This window comes from Homo sapiens, chromosome 16, assembly GCF_000001405.40.
Source record: "Homo sapiens chromosome 16, GRCh38.p14 Primary Assembly".
NCBI classification, from domain to species: Eukaryota; Metazoa; Chordata; class Mammalia; order Primates; family Hominidae; genus Homo; species Homo sapiens.
Window position 1 is genome coordinate 7,327,651 of NC_000016.10, and position 18,138 is coordinate 7,345,788.

The following is an 18,138-nucleotide window of genomic DNA, read 5'->3' on the forward strand; positions in this document are numbered from 1 at the left end:
TTGATCCTACAGTGAGCTCCTGACCTGTGGGAGAGGCAGCTTTTTCGCAGATATGATTATTGGTACAAAGAAATGTGGCTCAACATGCCTAGATCTTCCAGTGTTTCAAGAGATAGCATAAATCTAGATTTTATATGAGATGCCCCCATTAAACAATATTACCTTTTTTTTTTTACACTGTGCAGACAAATCATTATCATGATCATCATCATCCCCTTCTGTGGACTGGACTTGGTCCCCACGGCTGCAGGTTGCGATGTTGACCGACAGAATCCATGAGGCAGGAGTTGGTCTTCTCTAGATACCCCCTGTCTCTCATCTTCCAGACACAGCCAACACTTCTGTTTCTTCCTTCTCTTTCATTGACGTCTAAACTTTGAGAGGCTACCACTCAGAAGGGCCAGTCACTTATGTTGGCTCTCTTTGTTAGTCTGGTGTCAAACTCCTGGGCTCAAGTGATCCTGCTGCCTCAGCCTCCAGAGTGGCGGAGACTCAGGTGTGCACCACTGTGCCCAGCTTATGTTAGCTGTTAAGATCTGGGAAAGGAGGTTCTGGGCGCGGTGGCTCATGCCTGTAATCCCAGCACTTTGGGAGGCTGCGGCAGGTAGATCATGAGGTCAGGAGTTCAAGACAATCCTGGCCAACGTGGTGAAACCCTGTCTCTACTAAAAATACAAAAATTAGGCAGGTGTGGTGGCGGATCCCTGTAATCCCAGCTACTCGGCAGGCTGAAGCAGAAGACTAGCTTGAATTCGGGTGGCAGAGGTTGCAGTGAGCTGAGATCATGCCATTGCACTCTAGCCTGGGACAGAGCGAGACTCTGTCTCAAAAAAAAAAAAAAAAAAAAAAAGAAGACCTGGGAAGGGAGATGCAGTATCTGACAGCCAGAGCTAAAATGCCTTTATCTAGAACAGGAAAAGAGGAGTTAATACCTAAGAAGGAAATGTCATCATGGAAGGTGGAGATAGATGGAAGAATTTTTTTTTTTTTTTTTTAGGTGGAGGGATGAGATTGAACTATCAAAGCCTGGCTAAGAAAAAGCAAAATCCTTGATGGAAATCTCTGGCACAGGGAAAATGAGCAGAACTGGCACCAAGGAAGCATTAGGAGAGAGAAGAAGATAGTGGGGAAGCAGAAAGGAACAGCAAAGGAGCGAGTATTTGCCATTGTCTTGAAGTCTGACTTCTTGGATAAAATACATACCCTAGATTAAGGGTTAGCAAACCATGGGCTGTGAGCCCAACCTGGACCATTGCCTGTTTTTGTATAATCTTCGAGGTAAGAATGGTGTTTGCATTTATAACTGGCTGGAAACTTTTTTTAAAAAAAGAATAATATTTTGTGACCTGTAAAAATGATAGGAATTTAGTAAATACAGTATTACAGGAACATGGCCACAATCCTTCTTTGGTGTATTGTCAACGGATGCTTTTTCACGCTACAACAGCAGAATTTTGAGCAGTTGCAGCAGAGATTGTAAGTTCTGCAACACCTAAAATATTTATTATCTGAGTGTTTACAGAAAAACATTTACCATTCCCTGCCCGTGATGGGCAGAGCAGATGGCAATACACGGCTCTTTATTTGACTTCCGTATGTTTCAGGGATCTGCCTGTTTCTTAGCCACTACCAGAACTGCCCCACTCTCCTTTCACCTTGCTGTTTCTTCCACTATTTAAAGTTCCTGCATTACACCGTGAGCGTAATACCACATAATAGATGTTGAGTAGCCCGACATTTGCCATGAACCATGTGCACTGCCACTGGGGAATGGAAAGACACACGACATAGTGTCGACCTTCTAGAGGAGGCTCCAAGAAGGAAGAATCACAGCTCAGCAATACTAGGTGCTTCCCATTTGGGAGAGCAGAACCTATGTTAAGAAAAAGAGGTTTTGTTTAGTAGTTGTTATTTATTTACAGGCTTTATGATTAGTGGAAGGTTTTGAACGAGGACGAAGTCAATACAACTTCAAAAACATAAGTACCGCAATCATACAGGACAATAATATATAAATACAAAATCAGAATCAGAGAATGTATGAGTAATGGTGATCGCGACTGGAGGTGGGAGGGACAGCCCTTATTTTCACACAAGATAAGGAAGATATTTGTAACTCAAGAACAGCAAAAGGTTATTGTATCATGGCGTTCTTAAGAAGAAAACAGAAAATATCCCCGGCACAAGGTATAACTATATATCTCTATCCTGTATGTAATATATCTCTTATTTCTATCCTACTAAAATCAGCAGATTCTTTTATATATAAGCATATATACACACAGTCACGTGTCCCTTAACATTTGGCACTGGGTATGTTCTGAGAAACTGGTCAGGCAATCTTGTACTGAATACTGTAGGTGATTGTATCTAAACATAGAAAAGGTACAGTAAAGTATAACATTATAATATAATCTGATGTGACCAGCATGATATATCCAATTTGTCATGGCCTGAAATGCCATTATATATACAGTCATCCCTCAATATGGTGGGAGATTGGTTCCAGGACCTCCCCTCAGATACCAAAATCTGCAGATGCTCAGTCCCTGATATAAAATGGCCTAGGATTTGCATATAACCTATGCACATCTTCCCGTATACATATTAAATCGTCTTTAGATTACTTCTGAAGCCTAATACAATGTAAATGCTGTGTAAATCATTGTTATACTCTATTGTTTAGGAAATAATGACAAGAACAAACAGTCTGTATATGTTCAGTGCAGGTGCAGAGGTTTTTTTTTTTTTTTTTTTTCTGTTTTAGATGATCTGAGGTTGGTTGAATCTATGGATGTGGAACCCCAGAATATGGAGAGCTCTGTGTGTGTGTGTGTGTGTGTGTGTGTGTGTGTGTGTTTGTGTGTGTGTGTGTAGAGAGAGAGAGAGAGAGAGAGAAAGTTACATAAATACAATGGATCACTATCTTCTCTGCAGTTTCCAGCTACCTCTTCCTCAAGTTTGCTTATTGAAGCATTCTTGATTAAGAGTAAGGGGATATAGTTACCTCTCTTCTATGCTCAGGAAACTAAGAGTCTAAAGCTGTAAATTTGTTGCCTGAATGATGGAATTAAGTCTCCTGCCTTCTGGTCCAGTGGTCTTTCTATTTTACAACACTAAAGAGACAATTTGATCTGACACAGGCCTTACCTAAGTAAGTAAGAGCTCTCCCCTCCTGTTGATTGCTAAAGGAAAGCAGACGGGAGAGACACGTCCGTCTCACAGTGATGCTTCTGTCCTCCCCGGTAACTTCTCAGAAATGTGGTGTTGAAAGTCATCGTCAAAAGCTAAAGTTAGAAACAGTATCGGGCTGTTGAGTAAGAGGGGTCAGTGCGCAGCTGTTATGGGAGCTTTTTGAATTGTACAACGTGGCCACTTTGATGCATGAGAATCAATTACAGAGAAACCTTGTCAAGATGGCCAAAATTCAGCCTTAAATAATTGAATTCTCTGCCAAACCCTGTCCGCCGTCGTTATCTAGAAATGCAATTATGCAGCTAAATCAAGCAACTAAAATTAGTGTAGTGTAAAAACACCTTGGCTATCTGAAAGTGGAGGAATTGACATTTGGATTTAGAAAACGCCAATAGTTGGATATGTTTGGCGGTGTTTGAAGCTCTCTCCCAGTTTCAACAAAATCTATATCAAGTGTCCTGTTTAGAGTGAGCAGTGGAATGTGGCCAGTGAATGTTTCATTTTGAAGGTGATTTTCAGTGATTCCTGGGACTTGGGCATTATTTGAGTGGATTCACTTCATCAGAACTTCATATTATTGCTTTCAAAATTGTGGAACTACACACACCCACATGTCTTTCTAATAAGAAGATTAGAAGACTGACAATTTGATTGTTATCTGAGCCTTCAGTCTCAGGTCAAAGCCTTCAATCTGAAACCAAAGATGTGTCTGTACCAATCATCAGGAAAACAGGGAATACATGATAAAAGTGGCTAATAGCTGCCGGTACTGCACACATCATGTTATGGTTCTAGGACTTCATTTAATGATAACACAGCCTTTTGAAGTAGGGACTATTATTATCTCAGTTTTCCAAATGAGTGAACAGGGTTCAGAGAGGCTAAGTAACTTGTTCAAGATCACACAGCTAGTGATTATACTGACACCCAAGTCAGTATAATTCCAATTATATTAATTAATATATTAATTCAATTGGAATTAATTCCAATTCATGTCATCCCCTAGGAATTTATCTGCTCCTATGTAACATATCCCAAATGATTGCTTGGGTATTTTCAAACACCAGAAAGATTTCAAATCTGTGCTTGAATGTATTTTTTATCCATAGTTTTGGTGCTTGTTAGCTATGCCTTGAAACTCTGAGAACAAGAAGACATCTCTTGTTAATGTATTGCATATTAATATATCACAGATGAAAGCTCAAAATAAAGAATGTCGTTAAAAACACAAAATAAAAGGCATAGAAAATGTTATTACAGACTGAAATACAGCAGTGAAAACAGTGTTGTGGTTAGGAATCGGGCTCTGGAATGTGTTTGTAGCTTCGCACTGCCTTGTACGAGCTATGTGACCATGAGCAAACCATTTAACTAGTATCAGCCCTGTTTCCCATTTGTTATATGGGACTGATAATAGTACTGACTTCAGAGACTTGTTGTGAGAATGAAATTACATAACACGTGTAAATAATTTAACTCTGTCTCTCTGCGTAGCACACATTGTGCAAATACAAGCTGGCTGGTAGTTTTATCTTATTTACAAATTGCCACTTTAAATTTGAAATCAGAGAGAGAGCGGGAGGAAAACTAGACTGAATATCTTCTTATTTTTTTTCTATCAGTGCCAAACGTTGCCCACATTAACCTGCTGGATTTGAATTTTAACTCGGAGGCGATAATCACATTAATTTACATTTCTCAGTTTATTTTTCCCTAAAAATCCCATGTAGACCCCATCCCTTGCTCTTTTGGCCAAATTCAGTAGGATGAGCTTATATCTCATAGCCTGGTTCCCTCTGTCACTTGGTCTCTTGGTCTCTCTCTCTGTCTCTCTCTCTCTCTGAGAACTAAATTAATGAAGAGTATTTGGTTAGTCATGTTAGGCAAGCTGTTCCCAAAATAGCACCTTCCATTTTGGTAGCTTCAACTTTGCAGCTGCTGTGTCTCTTCGTCGTCTGGGAAGAAAACTTTCACATTAAGAGTTGCTGATGCGGATTTTCTTTCTTTCCTCTCCCGGCGTTGATGAGTGCTTGGCTCCTGACAGAAGGGATTTGGCTCCCAGCTTTGTAGTTCGGAAGAAGTTGGGTCTATAGATTTCCCCCTAACTCTCCATTGATGTGTTGAGCTTCAGAGGGAATAATAACTCTACGTAAAGCATGCTGGCGTCTCAAGGAGTTCTCCTGCATCCTTATGGCGTGCCTATGATTGTACCGGCAGCTCCTTACCTTCCTGGACTGATTCAGGTAATTCAAGGCCTCTGCCAGCCAGCAACTTAACTCCAGAGTGCTCAGAGTAATAATTGGAATTTTTATGGTTGAGAAAGCAAACACTTTTAATACAGGAAAAAGCCCTCGCGTAGTCAGTGAGAAGACAGTAGGAAATCAAAAAGATGGATCACCCTAATCTAGCTATCGACATCTCTCATGGCTGAATAAATGGTGTAGTTGAGCTATATTTGCTTGTATTGATCTGACTGCTATTTAACATTCATGTCTTAGCTTCAGGAGGTTGACCACGGGGCAAAGGATTTGCTCTCCTTCTCAGCTTTCTGAGGGACTCAGTCTCCCAGAGCAGATCATGAGACAAAGTAACTTATCATGAGGTGACTCAGTTAAGAGCTTTAACCCAGGAAATGAAAGGAGCATGAAATATGCATTAATTCATAGGACGCCTCCACACGGATTGTCTATTTTCAGAGAAGGCTCTCCCCACCTGAATTTGAGTGGTGGCACTGAGGCAAGAAGGAACACTCTATTGATGGGTAATTTATGAAGCTCAGAGATTATTCTAGGAATCCCTTGCCAGATGTGTACATCTTAATGATGGCAAGAAAGTGGAGGGTTGATATGTGTGCTGGTTTTACTTTGAAGTCTTTTAATTCTGTGCAGAGAGGATTAATCTACCAATAAACAATTGGGGACCTTTTTTTTTCCCCCTCATCATAAGGTTTTCTTTGCAAGCAGGTATTGCCTTCCGCGTTTATGTCTGAAGTTCTCCGTTGAAAGCTAACATCTACTAGCGATAGAACCCACAGATCATAGAAATCCAAGGTGGCTTTTTGTTGTTATAATTAGTTTTTTGAGTATAATCATCCCTTTGCAATAAATTCTGTATCTCCTTTCTACAGAAAAGGAAAACAAAATATATTTAGGTACGTCCTTTCACCTTTACTCCTGTGCCTCCCTCTGTCCCCTCCAGCCCCTCATAGTTAAAAACTATATGATACCCTAGCTCATTAATTACAATTTCTGGGAACCATTCTGGTCACTTTTCCCCCTACCTCTTCTGAACTTTGCTGTTACCTTTTGTTAAGTGTACGAACCTGGGTGATTAGAGTCATCTGGGGGTGATTCCAAGTCACAACAAAACATTCTCTCTTTCTGGATTTATGGCCGTTCCTCTGTTTGGAAGCTTTTCTCTGTATTACCTGTTATAAACAAATGGGTCATCTGGAGAACGGTCCTTTGCAGCGTGGAACTTGTTGCGTCTTCCCTGGTATACACAGGCCGGTATGATAAGGTTGCCATTTCTGAAGTAGGGCTCAGTGGCAACTTAGAAAGTTAACAGGCCTGTTGCTGCTACTGGAAACGTGGGGTGAAGGTCGGCTGTTGGAGCTTTGTCAGACCCTCTGCCGACCCATCTGATAAATAATTACAGGCAAATCGTGGCCTTCACTCTATGCTGATTGATGCTGAAATTGCTTTTGAAAGTTCTCATAAGTTCCTGTTATAGATTAAGTGCCGGTGTAGGAAAAATAACGGCACCCACTGAAATGGGTGAATGTAATCAGGTTTAATGGACTCCAGAGCTTGTTGGGAATTAAATAACTATCGATTTGTTGGAATGTTGCTGTCATTACGAAATGCCACTCTGGACGTATTACCCCAGTGATAGATGAGAAGATGCAAGGGCCAGCTGAGAAATTGGGGAGGCCCTATTTCTTCCTCCTTTGCAGAGCATTTGAGAAACATAGCCAGTTATTTTTGGAAAGAACAAGTGGTCTTACTTGTAAATCTTAGCCTGATCATACTGTGTTTTTCCAAGCGACACCTCTGGTAACTAGTTACCCATAAGTTAGGAGAGCAGTTTAGTGAGGAGCCTCTAGACCAGCTGCTGTGATATGTGTTATCTCCTTTCTTTCTCACTGCTGTGGAATGCACTGGAAAGCTAACACACAGAGAGAAACTGGCTTTACTTATGGTTTGCTGAGACAGCCCATGTTATTTACCCTTTGGCATCAAGTAGCTAAAATCACCCCAGTGCAGTAATATTTGCAAGGGGAGAAAGGGCAGTGCAAAGGGAGAAAAAACTGTATCACTCACAGATGCTCAGCTCTGAGCCGATGTTTCTGCTGCCAGCTGTCCTGCATTGCTGCAGACTCCACTTGCTCACTAGTTTCTTGACCTTATGGGTTTCTTCCTCACTCAGGAGGCAAAGTATTTCCTCTAGGGAATTAAGGTTCTATCACCACCTAAATATGTCATTGGCAAGATGTTAAAATGAGCCAAAATAAACCATGTGTACTCCATCACTGGGAGTAATTTCTCTGTGACTGGAGATGTTGAAACAGAGTTCATAGTGTCCACTTGGAAGGATTGTTGTATTATAGTTGGAGATTACTTTTCAAGGTCTTTCCAACCTCAAGAGATTTTGTGGCAGAGTGCTCCCTTTTCATATTTTCAAGAGTCATTTTGAAAATTCAGACCAGCATCGCCCTGTTTTAGTTGCCTCAGATAAAGAAAAAAAAAAAAAAAAAAAAAAAAACCAAGTGATTTACCAGTCATTTGGTGTGCCAGACTTTAAGACGGCATCCACCTAATCCTGCAAAGGCAGTGGATGGAGGTATTTACTGATAGCTTCAGGAAAGTTACTCATACAGGATCTTTTATTCCAAGCAATAATTGATAGTTATCATCTGCCCTACCCTTCCTCCTTTAGGAAAATCAGAATCTTTATCATATTGGATCTCCTGAACCCATTATTTTATGTCTACACTTGTTGTGTGTAGCCAAATAGAGAGTTTTTCCCTCCAGCCAGGTAGAGAATGACAGAATGACTATGGAGAATTCAGCTGAACCTGTCTGGACTGTCTCATGTGCAGAAAAAGCAGAGAGGAAAGGATAAGAGTAGTATTCCCAAGTGCATTGTACAAATATTGGCTGCTTTCCCCCTTGATAGAGATCCCGATGTTGATATCTTTGGATAAGAAGAACCAATGTACTACTTAACACTACTTATTTCTGAATTTCTAGTGATGCCTTGAATGATCAGTGAATTGTCTGACCTGGTAACACAGGAGCCTCAGTCACTTGCCCAAGTCAGCCTCGAGTCCAGAAGCTACTCAGAGGTCTTAGCCAAGCCATGGACCATGGCCAAATGACATAACCAAAACAACAGCTTTGTAACTGGTTAGGCTATTTGGTTAGTGTTTGGGTCTAATGTGTTGGCTCTGGGCTGCAAGTGTGGACCCTCACCCCTCAATCTAGGTATCTACCTCATAGATATGCCCTTGGGCCATACATGGCCAAGTCACTTTCACTATTGGACAAATCGTTCCCATTTCATCCAGGTCTGACAGATGATGAGTCAGCAGATTATTTTCCTGGATGGTTGATGGTGTAAATAGAGCCATATTCACCTCATCATGCATTTGTTCCTTCAGTTATCCATTCACTGTATACTCAACCTATAACAAAAGTGACAGTCATAGCCACTGAACTGTGGGTTCACAATCTAGTGGAAGAACTAGTAGGTAAACCCCAACTATAAGACTATAATGAAGTCAGAGGGAGGAAATGATAGGTAATGATTGTTGAACACAATATTGTCATGTGCCAGGCTCTGTGCTAAACACTTAGATTTAGGATCTCAATTTATTTTTATAATAAACGTAATGCAATTGGGCAGTATTTGTCCACCTTCCTATATCTGTAATTGTAAATTCCAAAAAGCTCTGAAAATCAATTTCTTTTGGAAGTTGGGCACCAAAGCTCATTTAGGAACAGAAACTTGACCTGAAATGATGTGTAGCTATTTATAGACTTTCTTTATCCCAGCTAATGTAAATATTCATGTATTTTGCTGTAGGAATATTTATGTGTTTGATTTTCAGGGTGTTGTCCTAGACCCTGCTGAGGGCTTTACATAATCAGCATTTCCACTGAAATAACTTTCTGAAAAAGCCCCCAAAATCTGATTTTCAAAATGCTGGTGACTCCAACGGGTCTTAGGTAAGAAATTGCAGTCATGCCTTTAATTCCCCTTTGCCTATGGAGAACCTAAAACCTACACTTAGACAAAGCTAGGTAGCCCAAGGTCACAAAGAATGCGAGTGGTATAGCTGGGATTTGGACTGGATTTGTTGAACCAGGGTCTTTTATCCACCAAGCTACCCTCTAGGTTGAGGTATTCAGGCAGGGTGGCTTATGAAAACACAGGAAAGGAAGTAACCCAGTGCCTCTTAGAGTCGGGAAGAGGGTGGTTTCAAAGGAAGGGAACTGGTATTTGAGTTGGGCTGTGAAGCATTAGTAGGCATTCACAGGACAAAAAATAATAATACGACTTGTTTAGTAGAGCAGAGAACTTGGGTGAATTCATGGAGTTGGCTTGTGATACTGAGATAGAGCCTTGGCGTCTTTTCCAACTTACTGCCACTGTAGGATGTGACGATGTTTAAACATAGATCTCAAGAGTGAAAAAACATAGGTCAAAAGGAGCTGGGAGGAATCTCAACAATGGAACTCCTAAGCACTGCGTCTCTGCAAGCTCACAAAAGAATGGGCTTCATCTATACCATCCATGACTCACGCAGGTGAATGTTTTTTGTGTTTGTTTTTGTTTGTTTGTTTGCTTGTTTTGAGATGGAGTCTCACTCTGTCACCCAGGCTGGAGTGCAGGGGCGCAATCTCGGCTCATTGCAACCTCCACCTCCCAGGTTCAAGCGATTCTCCTGCCTCAGCCTCCCAAGTAACTGGGATTACAGGCACGTGCCACCACACCCAGCTAATTTTTATATTTTTAGTAGAGACAGGGTTTCACCATGTTGGTTAGGCTCATCTTGAACTCTTGACCTCATGATCTGCCCGCCTTGGCCTCCCAGAGTACTGGGATTACAGGCATGAGCCACCATGCCCAGCCTAGGGCTGGTGAATGTTTAATTTTCTGGGTTTGTGCATCATTTACCATTCCTTTCTCTTTTAAAGTATTATTTTATTTTTGTAAGTTCCAGGGTACATGTGCAGGGTGTGCAGGTTTGTTACATAGGTAAAGGAGTGCCATGGTTGTTTGCTGCACCTATTAACCCATCACCGATGTATTTAGCCCAGGGTGCATTAACTGTTTTCCCTAATGCTCTCCCCACCCCCACCTAAGCATGGCAATTATCATTTACCGTTTCTATGCCTTCTTTTCTCTCTGAGATGGTAAGCTCTCAGAGGGCTGAGATTTTTCCAGCCTAAACTTTCTATAGCTAGACAGTGGCAGAAAAATGCCAATGTATGCCTCTCTGACGTGGATAGCAATGGTTTAAAGAAACCCTATACTCCATGTTTTTATTTTTATTTCTTTTAGAGAAAGGGTCTCACTCTGTCACTCAGACTGGAGTGCAGTGGTGCAATCATAGCTCACTGTAGCCTCGAACTCCTGGTCTCAAGTAATCCTCAGCCTCCTGAGTAGCTGGAACTACAGACATGTACCACTATGCTCAGCTTTTTTAAAAAAAATTCTTTTGTAGAGATGAGGTCTCATTATGTTGGCCAGCCTGGTCTCAAACTCCTGGTCTCAGACACACACACTGTATTTTGAAGCAGAAACCAGCGTATGTATTTTATGAGACATCTACATACCTATATGTAGTAACAATGCAAATTATAGAAACATCGGCCTTAACAATGGACAGAGAGTAACCATCCTTATAGAAAGATAAAGAAATCTATAAAGAACTTACAAGTAATTTGGGTAAGTTTCTGGTTGAACTTGAAAAACAACAGCTTGTTTGGCTCTGTGGCTGGCATTTCAGGTCTTGATATTGCTGCCCTGCGATTTTATCTCCATGTTTGGAATGTCTGTTGATTGGGAAAGACATCAGCATGCACACCTGATATAAATGCTGGTGGCGTCATTTACTCTGAGGCTGCTCCATCTTAGTCACTAAGCGGACTTTTCTGTACTGCCAAAGAGGCCATGTCAACAGCGGACTAAATTAAAGAGTCAGGGAGGTGGCAGAGAGAATTTGGAGTCAAACAGGTCCAGGTTGATATATAGGCTCTGGCATTTACTAAGCCTGTGGCCTGAGGCTTGTCAATTAACCTCACCAAGCCTCAGTTTTCTAGGCTGCAAAACAAAAGCAGGAAGGCCTAGCTTGCAAAGTCACTGTGAGTTTTCAGTGTGATTCATCATGTGTTTATTCAGCAATTATCTATTGAGCACCTACTGTGTGCCAGGCTGTGAACTAGGACTAGGTGATGTGGTAGAATAGAACACACTCTAGATCTCTTCCAACAGGAAGTTGATATTCTAACACATGGGAAAAGCTAGCATATAAAGTATGTTTATTCTGTATTATTCTGGAGAGAGAAGGAGAGAGGAAAGATATTTATGTATTATTATTATTTTGTGACGGAATCTTGCTCTGTAGCCCAGGCTGTAGTGCAGTGGCATGATCTCAGCTCACTGCACCTCCACCTGCCAAGTTCAAGTGATTCTCCTGCTTCAGCCTCCTGAGTATCTGGGACCGTGGGCATGCACCACCACAACCAGCTTATTTTTGTATTTTTAGTAAAGACAGGGTTTCACCATGTTGGCTGGGCTGGTCTTGAACTCCTGACCTCAGGTGATCCGCCCACTTCAGCCTCCCAAAATGCTGGGATTACAGGTGCAAGCCACTGTGCCTGGCCAGAAAGATATTTGTTAAGAATTCTTTTGTCTGCGATGAAGAAAATTCTAAGTCCTATTGGTTAAAGGGGGAAAAAAAGCATCTAGCTCCAGCTTCAGGCACTATTGAATTCAGGAATTTTGACAAGCCAAGGGCTGTCACTCTCCACCTCTCCACAGTGGTTATCTCTACTTGATCCTCACTCACAAGCACACCATGTCCAAGTGGTGGAAAAGATGGTTCTTGGCAACTCCAAGCTTACATCTCATCTCCTTTTAGAAATTCTCTTCCCAACTATTCCAGCAAGAATTCCAGATTGCAGTCTCATTGGTAGATCTTATAGTCCATGCACATCTCCAAATCAATCATCTAATCTCTGGTTGCCCACTTTAGAGCCAGAGGGCAGGGTCAGCCCCAAGAAAGCTGCATAGACTATGAACGGAGGCCAGATCAGGGACCTCTTACCAAAATGTGTTGGTGGATAAGCAAAATCTAGGTTCTTGTTATCAACAACAATTATAGTTAAAGCTGTCACAGACATTCAAACCTGTGCTTTCTCCCCCATAACTTTGCACACACCATCCCCTGGGGAGCAAGTGGTGGGTTTCAGATCTTAATTATCCTGATCACTTGTTGCCATTGATCATATTTACTAGGTAGTTTTATTGCCTTCCACTTCACTTGGCTTCTCCATTCATGATCAGATTTGCCAAAGGCAGGGATGGCTGTTTTACCTGGTATCTTCTCCGTTGCACTAATTACAGTCATGTCTTCCACTCGTGTATTTGGGATATTCCAACTCTTTTTACAGACTAGTAAGTCACAACCTAGGGAAGTCAAGACAGTCCAACCAGGACATCCAACAACACAATAATCAGTGCAAGATTGTGTTTCTCAGATTCATGATCCATGCAGCCACACCACTTCTCTTCACATCAGTGATGCATAAATAAATATATTAAAAAGAGCAAACAGAGCCTTCCAGTTATTAACTTTGTCATGACGTAGACCTCCCATCATTCCAAAGCACTCGAAGATGCTAGTGACTTGTCCTATTCTGTTTTATATAAATTCACTTTTTTAAATTAAGAGATTAAAGGGACACTGTCAATCTCTTCTGATTAATATCAGTCCTATAAAAAGGGTGTCTTGCTGCAGCAGCCATCTGTCATTTTGATCATTTTAAAGGCATGCTATATCAGCAACTATGCTTTTTATAATACGTTGGCACAGGGCAGGGAGGGTTGGAAGACCTACGGATTTCACACTCTCTGCTGCTGCTTTGGTGTTCGGCAATGTGAGCTTTTGATGGTGGAGCAGAGTCCCCTCCCTGTCTTTTAAAGGTTGTTTTGGGTAAGTGCTTTTCCTGGGTGATTTATGATGGAGATACTCACCCCTATTTATGTTTTTCCCCCGTCTAAAGATAGACCTCTCACACACACATCCCACCAGCTTGCAAGGAGCCAGCATGTTCACTTGATTCACTGCTGAGCCCTAAGAGATGCCCAGAAACATTGAACTCAATACTCTGAAGGTCTTTTCCTCTGAGCAACCGAGACCATTATCTTCAGCAATGGTCACTGTCTAGATTGAGCTTTTCAGGCTTGTAAAACTAGGAGGCAAAGGCTCCATGAAACTCATTCATTTATTAAGATAATGATTTATCAATCATAGATTTCGTGACTGTTGTCTTGCAAGCTCTGGAGGTATTGGGATGATCAAGTCCCAGTCTCCGTCCTCAGAGGTTGCGTAGGGGGGCCATGCCATTCGCAGTAGAGTCAGAGGTTAAGCACAACTGTTTGAAGATAGAACTCTTGAGTCTCCACCCCACTGACCGACTCAGTATGACGTCTTCATTGCTGTCAGTGGTCTGACACTCAAGACAGGTTTATGCACAGTCCAAAGAAGATGGCTTCCTACAGAGAGATACTCCAAATGACAGAGTTCCTGCTACATTTCAGAGAACAATGGTCCTACCTTCCTTCCTTCCTTCCTTCCTTCCCTCCCTCCCTCCCTCCTTCCCTCCCTCCCTCCCTCCTTCCCTCCTTCCCTCCCTCCCTCCTTCCTTCCTTCCTTCCTTCCTTCCTTCCTTCCTTCCTTCCTTCCTTCCTTTTTGAGGTGGGAAGATGACAGCAGGAGCTCCTGCCCCCGGCCCCCTTCCCACCTTGCATCCAACTTAGACTAAAGTAATAGAGTTCAACACACCCACTGCTGTGGGAGAAGGTGTTGCTTGGCCATTCCTTCTCTTCTGCTCTTTAATCTGTATTGGCTCCTGGAGGAGGGGAGAATTGCAGTGAGGAGGGGGATCACTTGTTCATTCCACATTGTTCTCAGGAACTGCTCTCTGAAGACCTATTTCTTCTTATTTCCTGAGGCAGCACAGTTAAATTTGAAAAGAACAGGATTTACAACAAGGAAACCTGAGTCTGGCCATTACTCTCTCTGTGTTACTCTTGGTAAGTTGCTTGACCTCTCTGAACCTCCACTTCCTCATCTGTAAAATGGGAGTAATACCAAGTGTACTCTACTCACAAGGCCTTTGCAGTGTAGTCATGGTGTCATTAGGGCAGCAAGACAGGATGCCTAGGGCTGGGCTTCCAACTCAGATCTTCCCACTCAGACGCATCTGAGTTGGCATCCTGGCTCCTGTGTGATGCGGGGCTTCAGCTCTCTGAGCACCCATGGTTTCAACCTGTCTGCGGGGATGGTCACATCGACTGCAGAAGGGAGCAATCCGATTTGACAATCAGCTCATTGTACCAACGCCACAACTGATTGCCAGCAGTGTTGTCTTGGTTTGTTCATGATTTCTGGAGTTATTGAATGTTCATTTTGATAAATCGAGATGCTCTAGGTTGGGAAAGGAGAATGTTTACACTTCTCTGCTCCCATTCTTGGTGGAGATTCCTGGTGAGCAAGGACACATGTGTTTGGCCTGCGTGGACAGTGCAGAGATACAACTGGGGAGGTGGCGAAGGAGAGGGAGAGATGCCACCATGGAGTTTGACATCTTGGCTCATGGCTCTGGGTGGTGTGAAACCACCATCCTCTTTCCACATGGCTGGTATAAAAGCCACCATCCTCTTCCCACTCCCTAAGCCAATAGCCTGCATAGTTGGAATGACTAAGTCCCAGCCTCTGTCCTCAGAGGTTGCATCAGGGGGCCATGTCATTCTCAGTAGAGTCGGAAGTTAATTACAAGAAACACGTGAAGGAGAGTTGATCAGTTTCAATAATGTTGAATCCTTGCCCAAATCTTTGTCCAGAACATGCTGGGACTGGAACTGGAGCTGGGTTGCAGGACGGGGAGGGTGGACTTTGTAGGGGGAAGAGAGGCCTGTCCCCTCCGTTCCATGTGGCCATAGCCTTCTGGGGACAGACTCTTTAGGACCACCCACACCCCTGTTCCATGCAGCTCTGGCACACCGTGGGCGCTTAATAAATGTTAAATAATAAGAATAGCTCCCATCTGTCAGTGCCCGGTGGCAAGGAGGATGTGTGAGTGCCAGCCGTCACTGGGCAGCTTATGGGAAGCCTTTCGGGGGGAAATTGTAGCTCTGAGTCGCTTCGAAGTCCCGCTGCATCCAGATGTTCCCCCAAAGCTGCTATGGATCAGTGTCCAGGCAAGGGAGGAGCATGGGACTCCAGAACATCTGCATCAGAGTGACAGGGGGCGGGACCAGAGAGATGAGAATCTGACCAGCAGTGGGATTTGGGAGCTGGTATTGACCAACAGTACAAGGGCTTTGTTGAGGTTTAAAAGGGCTAGAGGAGCTGCCCTCTGAGCACACAGCAGCATAAATTCATACTTCCGTCATATTCTTGGAAGCAAATGCCAACTGGGACTTTTCAGATTTTGTTATAATAACAACAGCAGCTGCTGTTTTTAGGCATTTACTATATATGAGGCTGTGTGTGAGGGGTTTCACTTGTCGTACCTAATTGAAGTAATATATCTTAGGGAGGAAAAAACAGGCAAACAGGAGGTGGTATGGAGTAGGGTGTGAGCTCTAGAGCAGACTGCCTGGTTCATCTGCTGCAACCATTGAGGCCTCCACCTCTGGGACCTTGGATGCCATTTGCTACCTGTGTGACCTTGGCACAGTTTTTCCCTTCTGGGCAGTAGTCACCCTCTTTGAGTGGTTGTTAAAGGAACCAAATCATGTAAAGTCCACAATATAGCACCTGGCACATAGAAAGTCCTCAATAAATGTATTTACAAGTTTATTTCCAAGCGTAAAGCAATACCACCACAACCAACACCAATGCAATTAAATAATAGCCTCAATCTTGAGTGTTTTCTATATAGGGAAGCCAATACCTTCTACTGGCTAAGAGTATGAGCCCTTGAGCCAGACTGCCTGGGTTAGAATCTCAGCTTTACTTTTTTTTTTTTTTTTTTTTTTTTTAACTCCTAAGCTACTCTGAACTGCAGTTTTCTCTTCGGTAAAATGGCCCATATTAAAAGTGCCTAAATTCAAGCTTCGCTGTACTCTTCTGTAGGACAGGGATAATACCAAAGTCATTTCTGAGGATCAAATCAATTAATACTCCCTAAGTACTTAAAATAGTAAATCCAATATAGTCAGGGCTAAAAAAAACTGATAGAAATAATAATTGTTACATGATTATTTTATATTTTATATTATTTGTATTATGCATTATTCATAAGATATAATGCAATATATATTTCAATAATATATGCAATAATATGTATTTTATGTAACACATAGTTATAAATATATAAATATATAACTACATAATGCCATATAGTTATAGGATAATTATATATAATGATTAGATGACACATATCATTGTGTAATACTGTATAATAGTTACATAGTAATGATTATATGTAATATAAATGATAATAATAATTATTATTTCTACTCTTGCTACTATGACAAGTTACTCCATTGGGGATTTTTTCCTAAATAATTTCTACCACTTTGAAGCATTCTGGCCAGACTTATTTTAAAAGGAAACTGAGGCTCAGCAAAGTGGAACAATTTGCCCTCATTCTTAGGACTGGGGAAGGGCAGACCAGCCAGGTGTCTGGCTGCAGAGCCCGTCCTCCCGCAGACCACACAATTCTGCAAAGCTTTGGTGTCTGTCGTCTCCCCATCCTCCATGGGGAAATGGCCATGTCTCTTGCCCGTACAACCGACTCTGAGCAGAAGGCTAATGCGATATTGTGCCGCTGTCATTTCTGATCAGTTTTTCCCCCACTGTCTCACAGCGGGCTGTCAGGAGGCCTTGTTCCCCATGGAAGCCTGGCTCCTCGTGGAGAAGATCAAACCTGGAGGTTGTGTGGTGACAAAGGCTGAGGAAGGGCACTGCTGGGACTGGGTCTTGTGGCTCTATTTTCAAGACCTTTATTTTTGGTTATCAGTGTTGAAACCTGGAAATACACTTTCTGTTTTCCGTTTAAACACAAATCAAGCAACGTTACCAACACACATTCTCTGTCAAACATGTCAGTTACTCCCGGGGCTGTGGACAGCTTGCAAGCGATGTCTTCTATTGTTACTGTGGTGGTGTGTTATTTCTCCCTCTACAGCTCTGCATTTGTTTTGGCGAGCAGTGTAAACACTGAGGGGCCTGCTCTCGGGGAGGTTTTGACAGAACATGTGAAATTGACATGGACCGTCCGATGACCATCTTAATAAGGCTGTTCGGGCAGCCCTGTATTTGCCTGTAGCATTTTCCATGAATTTTGGTGGGGGCTTAAGGATTCTAATGAGCTGGGTTTTGTTTCACACCTGGTGTTTTGGCAGACAGTTCCCACTGTGACTTAGCAGAGGGACTTGGCACGGCTTGCCAGAGGGCCTAAGATTTGTGTGGGCGCCCAGCAGATGTTGGATGTGTTCACCCATCATACAGAACGCCAGTCATCAGCCGCCGAGTCCCCTCTCTGTCTACATTGTAAGGGACCAGAGCTCCCACTTGCTGCCGGTGATGGAGCCGTCTGGGGATGGATAAAAAGCCTTTCATTACTGAGGATAATGCAGAGCATATGGGATTCTTATCTGTCCAAACAGTTGTGGGATTTGGGTTAGAGACGCCGTCTG

The 18,138-nt window shown here is 42.6% G+C and overlaps 1 protein-coding gene across 47 annotated transcripts in view; it reads left to right on the top strand.

Annotated features, from left to right (window-relative positions):
• The window catches only part of RBFOX1 (RNA binding fox-1 homolog 1), a 2,473,620-nt gene that overhangs the window by 2,087,930 nt on the left and 367,552 nt on the right, over window positions 1-18,138 (top strand). For 9 of the 47 annotated variants that reach the window (NM_001415904.1, NM_001415896.1, NM_145893.3 and 6 more), the window contains exon 1: window positions 5,195-5,438. The exons of the other annotated variants lie outside the window; for them this stretch is intronic. In NM_001415904.1, the coding sequence (NP_001402833.1) occupies window positions 5,352-5,438 (87 nt within the window). In that variant the 5' untranslated portion in view covers window positions 5,195-5,351. Of the gene's footprint in view, window positions 1-5,194; window positions 5,439-18,138 lie in introns of those variants that run through there. 47 annotated transcript variants of the gene reach the window in all.